This window comes from Homo sapiens, chromosome 17 (genome assembly GCF_000001405.40).
Source record: "Homo sapiens chromosome 17, GRCh38.p14 Primary Assembly".
Classification (NCBI taxonomy): Eukaryota; Metazoa; Chordata; class Mammalia; order Primates; family Hominidae; genus Homo; species Homo sapiens.
In genome coordinates this window covers 60,666,684-60,686,975 of record NC_000017.11, presented here as the reverse complement: position 1 = coordinate 60,686,975, position 20,292 = coordinate 60,666,684, and the positions used below count along the sequence as shown (strand labels likewise).

Sequence of the window (20,292 nt, the reverse complement as noted above, 5' to 3'; positions counted from 1 at the left end):
TAGGGACCATGATATATCATCATTTGCTTATTAATTGACATTTAAGCTGGTTACAAGTTTTTACACTGAAAATGTAAAAATTTCATATATACTGAAAAGTTCTAAGCTTCAACTTTTTCTTTGTTGAATTATTTTTTAAAATAAATTTTCGGCCAGGTGCAGTGGCTCACGCCTGTAATCCCAGAACTTTGCGAGGCCAAGGCAGGAGGATCACCTGAGGTCAGGAATTCAAGACCAGCCTGGCTAACATGGTGAAACCCCGTTTCTACTAAAAATACAAAAATTGGCCGGGCGTGTTGGCACATGCCTGCAATCCCAGCTACTCAGGAGGCTGAGGCAGGAGAATCGCTTGAAACTCGTAGGCAGAGGTTGCAGTGAGCCGAGATTATGCCATTGCACTCCAGCCTGGGCGACAAGAGTGAAACTCCATCTCAAAAAAAAAAAATTAAATAAATAAATTTTCATAAGTGAAATTATTAGATCAAGACACAGCCAAGGGCAACTACCATCCATCAATGTTATCACAACTAGAATTCAATGAGTGATAACTAAAGAAGCTGCTACCAGTCCAACAACACATGTTCTCTCTTTAGGAGGATATTTGCAGACCCAGAGAATACCTAGGCTCCATGAATTTGATGATTCCCAGAATAGAGCAGGAGGTAGAACACAATATTGGCAGAAAACATTATTTTTTAATGTCTGACCACAAAGTACCAACGCAGGACTCTGAATTAAATGTGGGAAAAAAAATGTTAGAAAGCACTGTTCTCATGTCAACCAAACAGTAGAAAAAATGTCTAACATAGGCCGGGTGCGGTGGCTCACACCTGTAATCCCAGCACTTTGGGAGGCCGAGGCAGGCAGATCACAAGGTCAGGAGATGGAGACCATCCTAGCTAACACAGTGAAACCCCGTCTCTACTAAAAATACAAAAATTAGACAGGTGTGGCGGTGGGCGCCTGTAGTCCCAGCTACTCGGGAGGCTGAGGCAGCAGAATGGCATGAACCCGGGAGGCAGAGCTTGCAGTGAGCCAAGATCATGCCACTGCACTCCACTCTGGGAACAGAGTGAGACTCTGTCTCAAAAAAAAAAAATGTCTAATATAACAAAAAGTTACTCCTATTATTGCTTTCCTAAGCAACCTATGGTCAGTAGGTGCTAAAATGACGACGTCTCACCATTACAATTAGAAATTGTAATGTATCTGGCTCATCTGATTATTTCGACTACGATTGTACACCAAAAATCTACATCTCTACCCTGGATCTCCAGTCTCAAGCTCCCTCCAGGAAAGACTACTTAGTATTTGCTTTGCTTTATTTTATGCTTTATATACATGACACCCTTTAAGCCTCAAAACAAACCCATGACGAATAAGATGATTAACCCGAGTTTACACATAAGGATACTGATGTTTAGAAAGGTTCAGTAACTTGTCTGAAACTAGTAAGATGCAGAGCTGAAATATAAAGTCAGATCTAATATCAAAGACTATGTTCTTTTTTTTTTTTTTTTTTTTTGAGACGGAGTTTCACTCTTATTGCCCAGGCTGGAGTGCAATGATGCGATCTCAGCTCACTGCAACCTCCGCCTCCCGGGTTCAAGTGATTCTCCTGCCTCAGCCTTCCTGAGTAGCTGGGATTACAGGCATGCGCCACCACACCCGGCTAATTTTTGTATTTTTAGTAGAGATGGGGTTTCTCCATGTTGGTCAGGCTGGTCTTGAACTCCTGACCTCAGCCTCCCAAAGTGCTGGGATTACAGGCGTGAGCCACCGCACCCGGCCCAAAGTCTATGTTCTTAATCACTAAGCTACTCTAAGCCTAATGTGCAAAATGTTAAGTTATAACCTCTCTGCCAAATAAAGCAAACACCTACTAGGATCCTGTTGTCCCCATTACATTCTCACTAAATTGATCATTGTTGGATTTTATTCCACTCTATTCCTCAATTCAGATGGCATCTCATTCATTAAGCCTTCTTTGATGTCCTCCAACTGAATTTAATTTTCCTTCTACTATATTACCATAACACTGTTTCTTTTCTCCTTTTTTTCCCACTCAGCTTTTCAGGTTGAAGGCACTGTGTTTTCTAGGATCCTCTCATAAAGCTGGGACACTGGATCTATGAATGTCCTTTTTGAACACTCCAGTTACACATACCCATGGTAGTCAAGGAAGACTACAACCATAAGGAGAAAGTATGGAAACCTTTCCCTTCAGTAGTCCCACTAGAACAGTGCTTCCCAAAGGTACCATTTCATAAGAATCACCTGAGATTCTTACTATTGCTACAAGTTACCAGTTACCATCCCAAATCAATTGTGTTAAGACTCTGAGAGAGGAAATTATTACTTTTAATAAGTATGCCAAGTGATAATTATGTTAAGTTTGGCAATAGTATACTAGATAATCCCAGTAAGGCTATTCTCATTCTTTATTCTCATATTTATATAAAAGGAACAGTAAAAGACTTAATCTTTTATCAGTTAGAGTAACAGGATACCTTAGTTGGCATAAAAATGCTGCTCAATATAAAAGAGATGTAGATTTGTGTTCAGGTACAATACTTAGCTAATATCTAGTTAAGGAGTGCAGAGTGTATATTGCTTTTCTCCCTTCTGGCAGGCAACACTTAAATAGGACAAGAAAATAGAAACCTAAGAAAGAAAGTCCCAGGTCTCAAATCTCTACTAACAATTCACCTTGATTCTTCTTAGGAAGGCAAAGTCCTAAGGAATAATATTTATGCCACTGTCATCACAACACTGCGGCACATCTAAACAATAATGTAGTCCCACCCTACGAATGCTCAGGATGCTAAAACATCAAAAACCTTTTGGAAGTTGCTGGTACTAGTGTCAAGTTTAGGAAACCAAACATTTCAGAGCTCTCCTGACCAAAGGGAAAGGCGAAAGCACATATAGACACTTACCTGTGGCACAACATCCTGCAGAAAAGTCACAACACTTTCCATGTAGGACTGCTCTCTGGAAAAGGGTGAAATGGACAACACTGGTCAGGAGAGCTTAATATAGAACATGAAAAAAGCTCTATTTACAAGCCTTAATAAAGTCACTTGTTTTTTGTTGTTGTTTGTTTTTTGGGGTTTTTTTGTTTGTTTTGTTTTGTTTTGTTTTGAGACAAGGTTTCACTCTGTCACCCAGGCTGGAGTGTAGTGGTGCGATCTCGGCTCACTGCTCCCTCGACCTCCGGGGCTTAAGCAATCCTCCCACCTCAGGCTCCCAAGTAGCTGGGACTACAGACATGCGCCACCATGCCCAGCTAATTTTTGTATTTTTTGTAGAGACGGTGTTTCACCATGTTGCCCAGGCTGGTGTCAAACTTCTGAGCTCAAGCGATCCTCCCGCCTCAGTCTTCCAAAGTACTGGGATTACAGGCATCACTCATAATATTCAAAAAAGGCAAAAAAAAAAAAAAAAAAAAAAAAAAAAAAAAAAAAAAAGGCTAACTCTTATCACCTGATATTTCTGCTAAACTACTTTCTCGTTTCATGGGTCTTTATATATGTTATTAAATGTAAATGGGCTTTTAACATTTTTAAACATTATCTCTTTTTAAAAGTCATGCTCTCCTAATTTGATAGAGATAGCTTCTAAGTCATATTTGGAGGAGTGATGACAGAGACCTAAGGTAGGACCTTCCTCTTGAGTCAGAGCAGAAGAATGCCCTAATTAGAGCAAGTAAAACTATTGCTGATGACTCACTATCTAGTGACCTTCTCCTTAAATTGGTTATGAACCTAGTCCCTTACCTGTATATAGCAGGTCAGTCTACATTTTCTGGTAGATACAGGCATTAGAAGAAGCTATTAAGCCTTTACAGAACTTTTGGTATAGAAAAGACATGGAAAAAAATTAAAATGCATAAAAATGAGGGAAAGCTGGATGCAGTAGCATGTGCCTATAGTCCCAGCTATTTAGGAAGCTGAGGTGGAGTTGAACCCAGAAGTTGGCAGCCAGACTAGGCAACATAGCAAGACCCCATCTCTAAAAAACAAACAAAAAAAGGGAAGGGGAAAAAAATAACACTGTTAATTAAGTAAGGACACTAAATTAATGTATTTTAAATACAAAGTACGTAAATTTCAGCAAGTGGAAAAAAACAACTTCTTCAAAATACTATTTTAGGCCAGGCGTGGTAGCTCACACCTGTAATCCCAGCACTTTGGGAGGCCGAGGCGAGTGGATCACTTGAGGTCAGGAGTTCAAGACCAGCCTGGCCAACATGGTGAAACCCTGTCGCTACTAAATATACAAAAACTAGCTGGGCCTGGTGGTGCACCCTGTAATTTCAGCTGCTCGGGAGGCTGAAGCAGGAGAATCACTTGAACCCAAGAGGTGGAGGTTGCAGTGAGTCAAGACCGCGCCACTGCACTCCAGCTTGGGCAAAAAAGCAAGACTCTGTCTCAAAAAAACAACAACGAAAAAATCAAAATACTAATTCAAATCCATTTCAAGAGATGTGAAAAATCACACTTGAAAATAATATGATTTATCATAAATCCTATTAAAAAAGCAATATGCCCTAGAGACCTACAAAAATCGATTAGGCCTAAAAAAGAAAATTATTAGGCTACCTCTCCAACCTCATTTTTTGCCACTCTCCTTATTCTGATTCAGCCATATGCAACTTCAATTCCTAGCACACACCAAGTTCTTCTTTGAATCAAGACCTTTATACCACCTTTCTTTCTATCTGGATTCCTTCCCATCCCCTTCCCTTCCTTTTAGTTCTCCGGGTTAAGTGCTGCCTCCTTTGAGAGAGCTTCCGGGACAGCCTTATATGTATTCTCCTTTGTCACTCTCCATTGTAGTACACGGTGCACAATCACAGCCTGTCATTATTTTACTTATTCACTTGTTTGCTTCAGCCTAGCCAATTTGATGAAACCCCATCTCTACCAAAAATACAAAAATTAGGCCGGGCGCGGTGGCTCACACCTGTAATCCCAGCACTTTGGGAGGCTGAGGCAGGCGGACCACCTGAGGTTGGGAGTTTGAGACCAACCTGGACAACATGGAGAAACCCTGTCTCTACTAAAAAATACAAAATTAGCCAGGCATGGTGGCGCATGCCTGTAATCCCAGCTAATCGGGAGGCTGAGGCAGGAGAATCGCTTGAACCCAGGAGGCGGAGGTTGCGGTGAGCCGAGATCGTGCCATCGCACTCCAGCCTGGGCAAAAAGAGCGAAACTCCGTCTCAAAAAATATATATATATGTATACAAAAATTAGCCAGGCGTGGTGATCCACATTTGTAATCCCAGCTACTTGGGAGGCTGAGGCAAGAGAATCATTTGAACCCAGAAGGCGGAGGTTGCAGTGAGCCGAGATCATGCCACTGCACTCCAGCCTGGGCAATGGAGCGAGACTGCATCTCAAAAAAAGAAAAAAAAAAGAATAATATATATACATATAAAATATATCTATTTATTTTTCTTATTTTTTGGAAATGAAGTCTTGCTCTTGTCCCCCAGGCTGGAGTGCAGTGGTGCGATCTCAGCTCACTGCAACCTCCGCCTCCCGGGTTCAAGCGATTCTCCTGCCTCAGCCTCCCAAGTAGCTGGGATTACAGGCTATTGCCACCACCCCCAGCTAAGTTTTGTATTTTTAGTAGAGACGGGTTTTCTCCACATTGGTCAGGCTGGTCTCAAACTCCCAACCTCAGGTGATCCGCCCACCTCAGCCTCCCAAAATGCTGGGATTACAGGCATGAGCCACTGCGCCCAGACATATATTTTTTTTAAGACACAGTCTCACTCTGTCACCTAGGCTGGAGTGTAATGGCACAATCACAGCTTACCACAGCTTCAAGCTCCTGGGCCGAGGTGATCCTCCCATCTCAGCCTCCCGAGTAGCTAAGGCTCCAGGCGCCTGCCACAATGCCTGGCTAATTTTTGTATTTTTTTAAGGCATGAGGGTCTCAGGATGTTGTTCAGGCTGGTGTCAAACTCCTGGTTTCAAGCAATCCTCCCATGTCAGCCTTCAAGTATACATATCTTTGGCCAGGCACAGTGGCTCACACATGTAATTCTAGCACTTTGGGAGGCCAAGACAGGCAGATCACCTGAGGTCAGGAGTTCAAGACCAGCCTGGCCAAATGGCAAAACCCCGTCTTTGCTAAAAATACAAAATTTGGCCAGGCCTGGTGGCGCTCGCCTGTAATCCCAGCTACTTGGGAGGCCAAGGCAGGAGAATCGCTTGAATCTGGGAGACAGAGGAGGAGGTGGAGGCTGCAGCGAGCCGAGACGGCGCCACTGCACTCCAACCTGGGCAACAGAGTGAGACTCCATCTAAAAAAAAAAAAAAAGTATACATATCTTCAAACCATATTAGATTATAAACTCACTCTAGTAAGTATAGACATTCTTTGTCAAAGAATGCCAAAAACAGAGACATATACTATGACACTTACTTTGAAACTTTCTGACAGAGACCTAGACTAAGAGATTCCTTTTATAGATAACACATGGATACATAGACGGGAACACCACACACTGGTGCCTATCAGAGTTGGGTGGGAGCGGGGAGAGGGTCAGGAAAAATAACTAATGGGGACTATGCTTAATACCTGGGTGATGAAATAATCTGTACAACAAACCCCTGTGACATGAGTTTCCCTATATAACAAACCTGCACATGTACCCTTGAACTTAAAAGTTAAAAGAGATACATTTTACATCACTGTCTGGTAAATATATACATACACATGAACATATTTATGTGCATGTCATGAAACAATACAAACTCTCAGCTATATTTTCTAATTTTCTATTATATTCTATTTCATTTTCTTTCTTTTTTTTTTTTTTTTTGGAGACAGAGTCTTGCTGTGTCGCCCAGGCTAGGGTGCAGTGGCGCGATCTCAGCTCACTGCAAGTTCCACCTCCCAGGTTCACGTCATTCTCCTGACTCAGCCTCCCGAGTAGCTGGGACTACAGGGGCCACCATACCCGGCTAATTTTTTGTATTTTTAGTAGAGACAGGGTTTCACCGTTTTAGCCAGGATGGTCTCGATCTCCTGATCTCGTGATCCGCCTGCCTGGGCCTCCCAAAGTGCTGGGATTACAGGCATGAGCCACTGCGCCCGGCCTCTATTTCATTTTCTACTACAACTCCTGACCCACTAAACTGATTTAACAATCCACTAATTTGTTAAACCTGGAGTTTGAAAACACTGCTCTTCAGGATTTAGCATAGTGCTCTTCACGTACTCTGTAAATGTGCTGAATACGTCAACTTAACTCTCCAATTCTTCATTTGGTCTTGGCAATTATTATTATTCATCCCATAAAGCCAACAGTTAAAAGATTTTTACAAAAGTAACCACTGTTCATAAAGAAAACCTAAATGTTAGTATTCTGAGTAATCTTTTCTTCAGCTATTGGGTTTATCTGAAATGTGCTTACGTGACAGCCTGGGGGCGAACCACAACTCCACCAGTACAACGACTGGGTCTTCTTGGGGAATCTGTAGCCATAGCTTCATTCATAAAACCTGTTTCCAGAACAAACAAACAAACAAAAAACAGAAAAACATGGATCGTTGTTGGGGGTAGGGAGGAAGATTTATGATTACTCACTAGAGATCCCTTGTCAAAAATGCCTCAAATGTAGGAAACTTTCCCAGAAATTCCTGTTACACCAGAAAGGGAAAAAAGGAGGAAGTAGGTTTTTAATTTTTTTCAAATTATAATGAGGGGTTTGGGGGGTTATTATTATTTTTGAGATAGAGTCTCGCTCTGTCGCCCAGGCTGGAGTTCAGTGGCACGATCTCTGCTCATGGCAATCTCCGCCTCCCAGGCTCAAGCAATTCTCCTGCCTCAGCCTCCTGAGTAGCTGGGATTACAGGCGAGCGCCACCATGCCGAGCTAAATTTTATATTTTTTTGTAGCGACGGGGTTTCACCATGTTGCCAAGGCTGGTCTCGAACTCCTGAGCTCAAGCAATCCATCCGCCTTAGCCTCCCAAAGTGCTGGGATTATAGGCTTGAGCCACCGCGCCCATCCTGTTTTGTTTTTTAATAGGACCAGGTCTCAGAACCACAAAACAATGTAAGGAAGACTCCTGCTGTACCCCTTGGTCTGTTGTTAACATAAATTACAAGGGTGAGAGAACCAGATCATGGGATGGGAATTTACTGCAATTTTATGTTGAGATAGTGAAAATACACATGGTACAATATTTCAAGACCAAACGGAACAAGTGACATGATATCACTCTACCTTCCAATTAAACCTGTTGGGAATCTATGAGTAAATCACAATTTAAATCACATTCGTAACCCCCTGCTACTATAACAAATAAGTCAAGTAATTATTTGACTAGTAGCAAGTAGTCAAATAACTAACATAAACTAATACGTTGTTACAGCCCTTTACCCTTTCCCGTCACATCAGTAAATCCTGATCCTAGAATGTTTCATGACCCTCTGAATCACTGAGATTTTAAGAGCATGGAGTCGGCTTGGTTAAGGTTAAAAGAGGACTGACAGCAATATCAAAGATCTCTTACAGGGCTCAGGGAAGCCCACAACCTGGAACTCATCTTGAAGGCACCGAAAACCATTTTTAAGTAGGGAGCATTCACACCTGATGTGAAAACTCTAAACCTGTGCGCCCCACCTCCTACAACCAAAACACCCTCTGCCCCAAGGAGCAGAGCCACCACCTCCTCAGAGGATACCTGCACCTCCAGCCCCTCAGCCCTCTCATTCTCATCCCATTCTTGCTTTCTCGAACCACAGTCTCCCAAGCCCTGCCCTTTAAGGGCCCTGTCTCCTGGGGACGACCCTCGCCAGCCACTCAGGCCCCAGTCTCCTGAAAGACACTCGTACGGCGCTGCCCACTTAACCTCCAACACGGAGCCACCGCTGCCCCCGGCCGCCCTCCGGCCCCTTGCACTGTTCCCCTCCCCCTCCAGTATCGACACCTCTCTCCTGTCGAATTCCTGCCAGCCCGACCCAGTCCCCTCACGCCGCCAGTCCCTCGTCCTCCCCAAGCCTCCCCAAAGCCAAAGCCCTGCCAGCCCTCTCACCGGCCGCCCCGCCGGTTAACGCTAGTCTCCAGCTCTAGGCTCACTGTTTGGAGTCTCCCCGAGTGATTGACGGCAGCCACTTCCTACCACGCCTCAGCGGAACCACCCCCTCTAGCCAATCCCAGAAGCAAACCGGCTATGGCCGGGCACCGCCCTTGGAGGTCAGCTTCGCCAACCAGCAAGTAGGAAAGAGGCGGACCCGCCTTCTGAATGTGTCCAATCCGCTGGGGCTGGAGGGAAAACACAACAGCATGTAAGTTCGGGTGAAGCCGAGGTGTCAGGTTCGGTTGCAAACGCAGGCAGCTGGGGAATAATTACGAACATGTACATTTTTTTTGGAAGACAGAACCTTCGTGGCTTTGAAAAGAAAAGCAACATGATCCAGACTCCTGTCCCGCTCACGTGAGCGTTTCAGGTTGGAGCCGGAGGACAGGGAGACTGGTCTGTTTACATCGAATTCTCGCGACAGCTGGTTCCAAGCTCGGAGCACGTGGACATGGCAGCTGCCAATCACTTTTAGCTGGCCACTCACCCGTCCCACACCCGCCTTCTGCCCAGCCCTTGGCGATGTGTTTACCTTCCGGGAGCCTAGGCTGGCTCGCGCCGGCGATCAGCCGAGGAGGGGTTGATCTGAATAAGGGGCACGGCCGGTAATCTCAACAATTTGAGCTAGGTTTGTAGACCACTTCTTGCTTCAGTTTCCATCTCCCTTATTGTTGAAGATCGAGATCTCGCCATTGTCATTTCATCAGTTCATTTATTAATATAAGTAGAATAATACTGACTGACTTCTTGAACACTCAGCACAGGCCTTCGTATACTTCATATACAATACTCTAATGTATTATCAAATTTAATGCCAATGACAGGTCCGTGAGGGTATAGCTTATTAACAGGCGTGGTGGGCTGGGCGTGGTGGCTCACGCCTGCAATCCCAACATTTTGGGAAGCCTAGGCGGGAAGATCGCTTGAGGCCAGGAGTTCTAGAACAGCCTGGACAACATGAAGAAACCCCGTCTCTACTAAAAATAGCCAGGTGTGGTGGCCAATGCCTGTAATCCTAGCTACTGGGGAGGCTGAGGCGGAAGAATTGCTTGAACCCAGGAGGCGGAGATTGCAGTGAGCCTATAGATCACGCCATTGCCCTCCAGCACTTTAGCCTGGGTGACAGAGAGTCCCTCTCAAGACAGATAGATAGATAGATAGATAGATAGATAGATAGATAGATAGATACATACATACATACATACATACATACATACATACATACATACATAAAATTTTAAAAAATTTTAAAAAAAGAAATGAAAGAAAAGGCCGGGCACGGTGGCTCACACCTGTAATCCCAGCACTTTGGGAGGCTGAGAGGGGCAGATCACTTGAGGTCAGGAGGTCAAGACCAGCCTTGCCAACTTTGTGAAACTCTGTCTCTACTAAAAATACAAAAATCAGCGGGTTTTGATGGTGCACGCCTGTAATCCCAACTACTCAGGAGGCTGAGGCAGGAGAATCGCTTGAATCCGAGATGTGAAGGTTGCAGTGAGCCGAGATCGTGCAACTGCACTCCAGCCTCTGGGCGACAGAGCAAAACTCTCGCTCAAAAAAAAAAAAAGAAGAAGAAGAAGAAGAAGAATATATTTGGAAATATTGAAATAACTTGATAATGTGGGATTGAAATAACTTGATAATGTGGAATTGTAACATTGAAAAGGAGGCCTAGCATGACTAACTCCATTTTGCTCCTAAACTCCCCACTCCCACCCATCGGTGATATCTAAGTTAACTGCTTTTGCTTATCTCTGCACATAGACTAAGCTAACCAAGGGAGGAATTTATAGTTTAACTTTAAAGCAAGGATGATAATAGTCCCTTCCCAAAACTAACCCCCAAGGAGAAAAGGAGGGTGTACACACAAGTAACAATGTTGAGAGTTTGAGAAAGTATTGTGACCTGACCAGTAACAGAGAGGCTTCAGGCCTCGAGGAACCCTTGCTGGCGCCCAGATGTCTACGGTCATCAGTCACCCCTTGATTCAAACCCTCTCTTCTTCCCCCTGCCCTTAACACAAAAAGAGCCTGAAATGTGTACTAACTTAAGATGGTTCTTCAGGCTGGGTGTGATGGCTCACACCTCTCATCCCAGCACTTTGGGAGGCCGAAATAGGTGGATCACCTGAGATCAGGAGTTCAAGACCAGACTGACCAACATGGAGAAACCCCGTCTCTACTAAAAATACAAAAATTAGCTGGACGTGGTGGTGTGCGCCTGTAGTCCCAGCTACTCGGGAGGCTGGGACAGGAGAATCACTTAAACCCGGGAGGTGGAGGTTGCAGTGAGCCAAGATCAAGGCACTGCACTCCAGCCTGGGCGACAGAGCAAGACTCCAACTTTTTTTTTTTTTTGAGATGGAGTCTCACTGTGTCACCAGGCTGGAGTGCAGTGTCTCAATCTTGGCTCACTGCAACGTCCACCTCGCGGGTTAAAGCGATTCTTCTGCCTCGGCATCCTGAGTAGCTGGGATTACAGGCACCCGCCACCACTCCTGGCTAATTCTTTGCATTTTTAGTAGTGACGGGGTTTCACCATTTTGGCCAGGCTGGTCTTGAACTCCTGACTTCATGTTCCACCCGCCCTGGCCTCCCAAAGTGCTGGAATTACAGGCGTGAGCCACCATGCCCAGCCAAAAAGATGGTTCTTTAGTACATTATTCTGCAATTTTCCGGGTTTGCTAGCTCTCAGAAATAAAGTTACTATCCTTGCTCTAACTCCTTGACTCTTCACCCCTTGGCTGTCATGCAGTGAGCAGAACAAGTTAGGACTCGGTTACAGGATGAAGGTGAGAGGTGAAGCCAGCTGGACTTCCTGGGTAGAGTGGGGACTTGGAGAACTTTTCTGTCTTAGGAGAGGATTGTAAAACACACCAGTCAGCACTCTGTAGCTAGGATTGGAAAACGCACCAATCAGCACTCTGTAGCTAGCAAGGGGATTGTAAGGTGCACCAATCAGCACTCTGTAGCTAGCAAGGGGATTGTAAAATGCACCATTCAGTGATCTGTAAAAACGCACCAATCAACGCTCTGTAGCTAGCAAGAGGATTGTAAAATGCACCAATCAGCACTCTGTAAAATGCACCAATCAGTGCTCTGTAAAATGCACCAATCAGTGCTCTGTAAAACGTACCAATCAGCAGGAGTCTAAAAGCCAATCGTGGGGAAGATTGAAGAAAGGGCACTGTGCTAGGACAGAAACGGAACATGGGCGGGGACAATAAGGGAATAAAAGCTGGCCACTCCCCCCAGCAGCGGCAACCTGCTCCAGGCCCCTTCCACTCTGTGGAAAGCTAAAAGCTTTGTTGTTTCCTTCTTTACAATAAATCTTGCTGCTGCTCATTCTTTGGGTCCATGCCACCTTTAAGAGCTATAACACTCAACGAGAAGGTCCTCGGCTTCGTTCTTGAAGTCAGACCACGAATCCACCGGAAGGAACCAACTCCGGACCCAAAGGGAAAGAATCAAGGATGTTCAAATCCAAGAAACCTTAAAGGTGTTAGAGGAAAAAAAAAAAAGATGTTTTCTGTGTTTTGGGCTTGATCAGCTGAGTGGTGCCATTTACAAATAGGATGAACACTAGCTGAGTTTTACATTTCTTGGTAAATTTCTGTGCCTTCATTGTTTCATCCTTTGTAAATTGTAGAAGGAATAATATGGGCGGGGCGCGGTGGCTCAGGCCTGTAATCCCAACACGTTGGGAGGCCGAGGAGGGCGGATCATGAGGTCAGGAGATCGAAACCATCCTAATGGTGAAACTCCATCTCTACTAAAAATACAAAAAATTAGCCAGGCGTGGTGGCTGGCGCTTGTAGTCCCAGCTACTCGGTAGGCTGAGGCAGAGAATGGCGAGAACCTGGGAGGCAGAGCTTGCAGTGAGCCGAGATCGCGCCACTGCACTCCAGCCTGGGCAACAGAGCAAGACTCCGTCTCCAAAAAAAAAAGAATATTATGAGCCTCATAGGCTTTCTTTTTAGCAGGGGCGTCAGAGGGGGGCAGTTTTGCTGTTACCCAGGCTGGTGTGCAGTAGTGCAATCATAGCTCACTGCAACCTCCAACTCCTCGGCTCATGTGATCCTCCCACCTCAGCCTCCTAAGTAGCTGGGTTTACAGGCACACACCAACATGCTGGCTAATTAAAAAATTTTTTTCTGTAGAGACAGGGCCTCCCTATGTTGCCCAGGCTGATCTTGAACTCCGGAGCTCAAGTGATTCTCCCATCTCAGCCTCCCAAAGTGCTGGGATTACAGGTGTGAACCACTGCACCCGACCCCATAGGCTTTTTATGACTAAATAAGTTTTTTTTTCTTTTTTTTTTTTCTTTTGAGACAGAGTCTCACTCTGTCACCTAAGCTGGAGTGCAGTGGCACGATGTGGGCTCACTGCAACCTCCACCTCCCGAGTTAAAGCAGTTCTTTTTGCCTCAGCCTCCTGAGTAGCTGGGACTACAGGTGTGCACCACCATGCCTGGCTAATTTTTGTATTTTTAGTAGAGACGGGGTTTCACCATATTGGCCAGGCTGGTCTGGTTTCACCATATTGGCCAGGCTGGTCTGGAACTCCTCATCTCGTGATCTGCCTGACTCGGCCTCCCAAAGTGCTGGGATTACAGACGTGAGCCACCACTGCGCCTGGCCATTTTTTCTTTCTTTCTTTTTTTTTTTTTTTTTTTTGAGACAGAGTGTCAGTCTGTCTCCCAGGCTGGAGTGCAGTGACACAATCATAGCTCACTGCTACCTTGACTTCCCAGACTCAAGTGATCCTCCCACCTCAGCCTCCTGAGTAGCTGGGACGGCAGACCTGCACCACCACTCCTGGTAATTTTTGTATTTTTTATTTTCTTTTTCTTTTTTTCTCTTTCTTTTTTTTTTTTTTTAATTTAGACAGTCTTTGCACTGTCGTCTGAGCTGGAGTGCAGTGGTGCAATCTCGGTTCACTGCAACCTCCGTGTCCCGGGTTCAAGCAATTCTTCTGCGTCAGCCTCCCGAGTAGCTGGGATTACAGGCGCCCACTACCACATCCAGCTAATGTTTTGTATTTTTAGTAGAGACAGGGTTTCCCCATGTTGGCCAGGCTGGTGTCGAACTCGTGATTCGCCCACCTCGGCCTCCCAAAGTGCTGGGATTACAGGCGTGAGCCACTGAGCCCGGCCATTTTTGTATTTTTTCTAGAGATGGAGTTTCACCATGTTGCCCAGGCTGGTCTCGAACTCGAGCTCAAGCCATGTGCCCGCCTCAGCCTCCCAAAGTGCTGGGATTACAGGCGTGAGTCATCCGCCCAGCCCAAATTTAAAGTTCTTAGATCAAAGTAGAAATTTCTCCAAATGCACCGGGCGCAGTGGCTCATACCTGTAATCCCAGCACTTTGGGAGGCTGAGGCAGGCGGATCACCTGCGGTCATGAGTTCGAGACCAGCCTGACCAACGTGGAGAAACCCCGTCTCTAAGGGCCGGGCGCGGTGGCTCACGCCTGTAATCCCAGCACTTTGGGAAGCCGAGGCGGGCGGATCACGAAGTCAGGAGATAGAGATCATCATGGCTAACACGGTGAAACCCCGTCTCTACTAAAAATACAAAAAATTAGCCGGGCGTGGTGGCGGGCACCTGTAGTCCCAGCCACTTGGGAGGCTGAGGCAGGAGAATGTTGTGAACCCGAGGGGCGGAGCTTGTAGTGAGCCGAGATCACGCCATGGCACTCCAGCCTGGGCGACAGAGCGAGACTCCGTCTCAAAAAAAAAAAGAGAAAGAAACCCCGTCTCTACTAAAAATAAAAAATAAGCCAGGCGTGGTGGCGAATGCCCGTAATCCCAGCTACTTAGGAGGCTGAGGCAGGAGAAACGCTTGAACCTGGGAGGTGGAGGTTGCGGTGAGCCAAGATCGCACCGTTGCACTCCAGACTGGGCAACAAGAGCGAAACTCCGTCTCAGAAAAAAAAGAAAGAAAGAAAGAAATTTCTCCAAACGAACGACCAGCCAGTTCTAATTACCCCATTTTATTATCCACAAAGATGGTTTGAGATTCTCTTATGAGCCTTCACTGGAGATAAAACGTGTGGTGATCATATTTTTTAATGGAAGAAACTAGTGGGTGCTTTGTACATACTGCCAGCTCATGAGTCACTTCAAAGTACAGAGACATGGAGAAACTCTTCAGTGAACTATTTGTTCTTGCTACCTAGCAATCCCAGCTACGAAACTCATCTTTAATGGAAAAGAGTAACTTTAAGGGAGTTCTTTGTTCTTCCAATTGCTTCCTTGGCCCAGTATAGTAAATTACTAATGACCAAGATTGCCTCTCATATGACCCTACAGAACAAAAAATCAAAATCCCTAGAGAATAATCAGGGAGCTGTCCATATGCAAACCAAATTTCAAGATCAGTGTGTACTTTCTGGTGTGTTTTTGCTTTGGTTAGGATTCTTCTTTTGGTTTGTTTGTTGTTTGTTTTTTAAGCCTTAAGCTATTGCCTCACTGACCCAGGCCACCAAAAACACTTGAATAATGATCCTGTAATTTCAGCAGCAGGGAAACAACCTGTTTTCACACAAAACTGTGGTGAACATTAGTATTTTAATTTTCAGCGAAGTATTTTAAAAAGTTTAAAAAATAAAACCTCATCACTTTTCTCTAAAATCCTCTAGCTGTAGCTAGGATTTTATCTTGTAAGATAAAAATATATTGATTACTCATGATATTGACTTTTTCTGATGCATTCATTAGGTCCCAATTTCTAAACACTACCCAAAGTAGAATCCCAAAATTCATAGACTAGCAAAACCAACATAATCCAAACTCCTATCACCTCACCTCTATTGATTACAATTAGTGCCTGCCATTTGTCCATCCTGAATACTAGGTACTAGGTAATCATGCTTTCTAAAACAGCATTTCCCCATAATTTCTATTCAAAATTTTAAGTCTTTGCAGTTGTTTATTATGTTGGATCCCTCTGCTCCTTCCCAAGTCCAGCAAACATCCTGAAGATGGCCGGGCGTGGTGGCTCATGCCTGTAATCCCAGCAGTTTGGGAGGCCGAGCCGGGAGGATCACCTGAGGTCAGGAGTTCGAGACCAGCCTGGCCAACATGGTGAAACCCCGTCTCTACTAAAAATACAAAAATTAGCCGGGCATGGTGGCACACGCCTGTAGTCCCAGCTACTCCAGAGGCTGAGGCAAGAGAATTGCTTGAACCCAGGAGGGGGAGGTTGCAGTGAGCCAAGATGGCACCACTGCACTCCAGTCTGGGCAACAGAGCAAGACTCTGTCTCAAAAAAAAAAAAAAAAATCCTGAAGATACGGTGATTATTTTCCTTTAGTTTTTCATTCTGTTGAAACCAACTAGTATCTATAAAGTGGTCATAGAATTTGTCATCTTGTCAGGACAGTGAAATGAGGCTCTTCTAATAATTACACCAAAAAAAAAAAAAAAAGTAAACTAGGACTGCTCCGGGCAAACTATTAAGTATGGTCATCCCTGTCACTCAGGCTAGAGTACAGTGGTGCAATCAGAATTCACTGCAGCCTCAACCTTCTCGGTTCAAGGGATCCTCCTGCCTCAGCCCAGGTGCGTACCACCACACCCAGCTAATTTTTAAATTTTTTTTGTAAAGACAGGGTCTCACTTTGTTACCCAGGCTGGTCTCAAACTCCTGGGTTCAACCAATCTGCCTGCCTTCGCCTCCCAAACTGTTGGGAGTTGCAGTTGCAGTACAGGAGTGAGCCACAGCCAGGCCAAGTGTGGTCATTCTTTATCTTTGACACATCAGTGCTGCTTTGTAACTGCTTATAATTCTATTGCCTGTAACTGAAATGTAACAAAATCTCTTTACCAGAAACGATTATTTATTTGTTTCATTTATTCTCCATGATGCTCTATTCACTAACAGGAACAATTAAATGTCGGAGCTCCTACTATTGCCCAGGCACGGTGGTGTCAGAGGCCTTTGAACTGGAGCAACTCCATCTTGAAGAGGGGCTATGTAAAATGAGGCTGAGACCTACTGGGCTGCATTCCCAGGAGGTTAGGCCTTTTAAGTCACAGGATCAGATAGGAGGTCAGTACAAGATACAGGTCATAAAGACCTTAACTAATAAAACAGGTTGCGGGAAAGAAGCCTGCCAAAACCCACCAAAACCAAGATGGCAACAAGAGTGACCTCTGGTTATCCTCACTGCTCATTATACACGAATTATAATACATTAGCATGCTAAAAGACACTCCTACCAGGGCCAGGATAGTTTACAAATACCATGGCAGTGTCAGGGGGGTTACCATATGCGGTCTAAAAAGGCGAGGAACCCTCAGTTTCGAGAATTGCCCACCCCTTTCCCGGAAAAGTCATAAATAATCCACCCCTTGTTTAGTATATAATCAAGAAATAACCATAAAAATGGCCAACTAGCAGCTCATCCTGCTGCTCTGTCTATGGAAGAGGCATTCTTTACTCCTTTACTTTCCTAATAAACTTGCTTCCAGTTTATGGACTCACCCCGAATTTTTTCTTGTGCAAGAGCCAAGAACCCTGTCTTGGGGTCTGGATCAGGACCCCTTTCCAGTAACAGTAGCTCAGGCCTGGAATCCCAATACTTTGGGTGGCTGAGGCGGGAGGATTGCTTGAGCCTAGGAGTTTGAGACCAGCCTGGTCAACGTAGTGAGACCCCATCTCTACAAAAAAAGTAAAACTTAGCTGAGCGTGGTGGCCCATGCCTTTAGTCCTAACTGCTCGGGAGGCTGAGGCAGCAGGATCACTGGAGTCCAAGAGTTCAAAGCTGCAGTGAGTTGTGATTGTGCTACTGCACTCCACACTGGGAAACCAAATGAGACCCTGTCTCTCCAAAAAAAAACCCAAAAAAAACAACCATAGACAGTTATAAAGATACAGGAAAGTGAAACTGCCGACAACGACCAAATCTTGTTTTTGTTGTTGTTTCGTTTTGTTTTGAAACAGAGTCTCCCTTGGTCACCCAGGCTGAAGTGCAGTGGCTCAATCTCGGCTCACTGCAACCTCTGCCTCCTGGGTTCAAGTGATTCTCCTGCCTCAGCCTCCAGAGTAGCTGGGATTACAGGTGCGCACCATCACATACGCGCCACCATGCACAGCTAATTTTTGTATTTTTAGTAGAGATGTGTTTTCAGCATGTTGGCAGAGCTGGTCTCACACTCCTGAGCTCAGGTGATCCACCTGCCTCGGTCTTCCAAAGTGCCGGGATTACAGGCATGAGCTACCACGGCCAGCCCTCAAACCTTAGTTTTATCAACTGTTTTAAAAAATACACAAGGTGGTCAGGCATGGTGGCGCATGCCTGTAATCCAGCATTTTGGGAGGCCAAGGTGGGTGTGTCACCTGAGGTCAGGAGTTTGAGACCAGCCTGGCCAACATGGTGAAACCCCGTTTCTACTAAAAATACAAAAATTAGCCGGGCATGGTGGTGCGCACCTGTAGTCCCAGCTACTCAGGAGGCTGAGGCAGGAGAATCACTTGAACCCAGGAAGTGGAGGTTGCAGTGAGCCGAGATTGAGCCACTGCACTGCAGCTTGGGCGTGACAGAGCAAGACTCTGTCTCAAAAAAATGAAAATGCCGCTTCCTCTGGTCTTCATGTTTGTTTTTTTTCTTCCTTTTTTTTTGAGACGGAGTCTTGCTTTGTCTTGGCTCACTACAACCTCCACCTCCTGGGTTCATGCAATTCTCCTGCCTCAACCTCCCAAGTAGCTGGGATTACAGGCATACGCCATCATGCCTGGCTAATTTTTTTACTTTTAGTAGAGATGGGGTTTGACCGTGTTGGCCAGGCTGGTCTCAAACTCCTGACTTCAAGTGATCCACCCACCTCGGCCTCCCAAAGTGCTGGGATTACAGGTGGAGCTACCATGCCCGGCCCTATCATGGTTTCTGAAGAGAAATATGCAGTCATTTAAATTAGTCCTGTGTATGTCAGTATGCATTATATTTTCCCTCTGGTGGCTTTCAAGATTGTTTTTCTCTTTAGTTTTTAGCAATTTGGTTATGTCAGGATTTCTTAATGTTTTCTGTTTGGGGATTTGCTGAGCTTGAATTTGTAGGTTTATGACTCATTAGACTTAGGATGTTTTAAAGCCATCTTTAATTATTATTATTATTATTATTATTATTATTATATTATTATTATTATTATTAGAGTCAGGGTCTTACTCTGTTGCGAAGGCTGGAGTGCAGTGGCCCGATCTCGGCTCAATTCAACCTCCGCCTCCCGAGTTCAAGTGACTCTTCTGCCTCGGCCTCCTGAGTAGCTGGACTACAGGCATCCACCACCATGCCTGGCTAATTTTTGTATTTTTAGTAGAGACAGGGTTTCACCATGTTGGCCAGAATGGTCTCAAACTCCTAACCTTAAGTGATCCACCCACCTTAGCCTCTCAAAGTGCTGGGAATACAGGCATATTCCGTGCCCAGCCTAGATTTTTTTTTTAGCACCACATTCTTCTCTGTTTCCATTTGTTTTTGTTTTTTTGTTTTTGTTTTTGCAACGAAGTCTCACTTTGTCACCTAGGCTGGAGTGCAGTGGTACATTCTCAGCTCACTGCAACCTCTGCCTCCCAGGTTCAAGCAATTCTCCTGCCTTAGCCTCCCAAGTAGCTGGGATTACAGGTGTGTGCCACCGCGCCCAGCTAATTTTTGTATGTTTAGTAGAGATGGGGTTTCACCATGTTGGCCAGGCTGGTCTCAAACTCCTGACCTCAGGTGATCCCCCCACCTCAGCCTCCCAAAGAGCTGGGATTACAGGCATGAGCCACCGCACCCGACCTGTTTTCATTTTGTTATTTTGTGTTTTGTGTAAGAGACAGGGCCTAACTATGCTGTCCAGGCTGGAGTCCAATAGCTATTCACAGGTGTGATCATCGCACACTATAGCCTGGAACTCTTGGGCTCAAGCAATCCTCCCACCGCAGCTTCCTGAGTAGCTAGGACTACAGGAATGCACCACCATACCCAGCTTGCTTTCTTTTAACTTTTTTTCCTTTTGCTAAAACTTTTGTTACTTTTATTATTTATTTTTGAGGCAGTGTCTCACTCTGTTGCCCAGGCTGGTGTGCAGTGGTGTGATCACGGCTCACTGAAGCCTCAACCCCCTGGGCCCAAGTGATCCTCCTACCTCAGACTCCAGAGTAGCTGGGACTACAGGCACATGCCACCACACCTGGCTAGTAAC

The 20,292-nt window shown here is 45.3% G+C and overlaps 1 protein-coding gene across 8 annotated transcripts in view, besides 4 other annotated features; it reads right to left on the bottom strand.

The window, feature by feature from the left end:
* Positions 1-9,125, bottom strand: part of BCAS3 (BCAS3 microtubule associated cell migration factor) — a 714,981-nt gene extending 705,856 nt beyond the window's left edge. For all 8 annotated transcript variants that reach the window (NM_001353144.2, NM_001353145.2, NM_001330413.2 and 5 more), the window contains exons 1-3: positions 9,062-9,125; positions 7,436-7,523; positions 2,940-2,994 (exon numbers count right to left, since the gene is read on the bottom strand). In NM_001353144.2, the coding sequence (NP_001340073.1) occupies positions 2,940-2,994; positions 7,436-7,518 (138 nt within the window). In that variant the 5' untranslated portion in view covers positions 7,519-7,523; positions 9,062-9,125. The remainder of the gene's footprint in view (positions 1-2,939; positions 2,995-7,435; positions 7,524-9,061) is intronic.
* Positions 3,641-3,841: a silencer, noted in NCBI's record as "peak2931 fragment used in MPRA reporter construct". NCBI's record gives its function as "represses an SCP1 promoter by STARR-seq MPRAs in K562 erythroleukemia cells {active_cell/tissue: K562}" and the evidence as "EXISTENCE:reporter gene assay evidence [ECO:0000049][PMID:32103011]".
* Positions 8,992-9,745: a silencer, noted in NCBI's record as "fragment chr17:58754592-58755345 (GRCh37/hg19 assembly coordinates)". NCBI's record gives its function as "represses an EF-1alpha promoter that drives an FKBP-Casp9 reporter gene in an ReSE screen in HepG2 liver carcinoma cells {active_cell/tissue: HepG2}" and the evidence as "EXISTENCE:reporter gene assay evidence [ECO:0000049][PMID:32094911]".
* Positions 9,084-9,233: an enhancer, noted in NCBI's record as "active region_12534". NCBI's record gives its function as "activates an Ori minimal core promoter by ATAC-STARR-seq in GM12878 lymphoblastoid cells {active_cell/tissue: GM12878}" and the evidence as "EXISTENCE:reporter gene assay evidence [ECO:0000049][PMID:35858748]".
* Positions 9,404-9,573: an enhancer, noted in NCBI's record as "active region_12533". NCBI's record gives its function as "activates an Ori minimal core promoter by ATAC-STARR-seq in GM12878 lymphoblastoid cells {active_cell/tissue: GM12878}" and the evidence as "EXISTENCE:reporter gene assay evidence [ECO:0000049][PMID:35858748]".